Genomic DNA, 1,365 nt, shown 5'->3' with positions numbered 1-1,365 from the left:
GCTTTCCCAGACCTAGAAAAATCAGGGAGAGAGGGAAGGAGGGAAGAAATCTTTCCCAAATGGAAGGATTTGTCTTAGCAAATGTTAACCAGAGGAACTGCTGCTTTTGGTCTCAGCAGATCAGTAAATAAACTCTCTTGATAAGCACTAAGTAGACGATCCAGCAACTGGTGTTTAATTATTATTTGAAGTTAACCTTAACTTAAAACACATGCACACACAGTTTTTAAAGAATATAAAATTCCGTTTTGGTGATACTGCTGTGCTAACATCTTCCGTCCTCCCAGGAGCTACTTCTGCTGCACCACTCCCTTCCCCCATCACCAATCTTCTGGCTTCCAGAGTCTTTTCACTTGTTCTTATTGAAGCACCTTTGAATGGGTGCGAGGAAATTAAAGGGCCTATTATATTCAGCCTAGTTGCTTTGGTCTGGGGAAAACTAGAATTACAGATAGTGTACCCTATTTTCCCCACCCTCCCCACCCACAAAAGAGTCAGCACCAAGTAGACTATGTCCTCAATTCTCCTATCTGTGATTTTTAATTTTTTTTTTTTTTTTTTTTTTTTTTTTTTTACTACTGAGTAATTACCAACTGAAATAGAAAGTGCCCAGGCTGAGAGATCACCGCTGGCTGTGTGGCTGCAGACATGAGATCCTGATTACAGTAATTCAAAATCTACAGAACAGGAAGCCTGATCATCTTCAGACTTGTTTCTCTTTTTTGAGGGGGTGGAGGAAGAGAAGTGCAGCATGGCTAACAGACCAGCAGATCTGGGACTGTTCAGGGTGGGCCACTGTTTGATATTCATGTTTTTCAATATAAGCATCTTTTTTTTAAATGGCTGTGTCTGAAAATTGGAATTTGGAATAAATATCTGCTGACCAACCCAGCAGCACTGCTAGGAAGGAAATAGAGCATTTAAATGTCTATTTCTCTGAGGACAACCAAACCTTTGTCCCAATAGAACACATTCACAAACTGTTCTACAGAGGAAATTTCATGTAAGTAGGAAGCAGAAATGGAGATAAGGAAACTAGAACTTGCTTTTTGACATCCACATAAGCATGAGAAAATATTATGACAGAAAAATAATAAAATGACATTATAAATGTCAATAACTTTTATTACTGTCTACTACATATTGGTCACTGGACATTAGGTATAATGGGACTGCCACAGAAAGGTACCTAACCATTTTCTCAAGGTGTTTATAATCTAAAAGTGGGTAGGATAAACCCACTTGGAAAACATGCAAAAGAATATATACATCAGTCCAATACTAATTGTTCCTTCATGCTTAAGGGATACTGGAATAAAATGTTCTTAGATTAGGCTGGGTTACTTTGAGAAGACTTTAATGGTG

The sequence above is a fragment of the Homo sapiens genome, chromosome 4, assembly GCF_000001405.40.
Source record: "Homo sapiens chromosome 4, GRCh38.p14 Primary Assembly".
Lineage (NCBI taxonomy): Eukaryota > Metazoa > Chordata > Mammalia > Primates > Hominidae > Homo > Homo sapiens.
The sequence above is the reverse complement of the archived record's forward strand: the minus strand, read 5'-3'. Positions refer to the sequence as shown.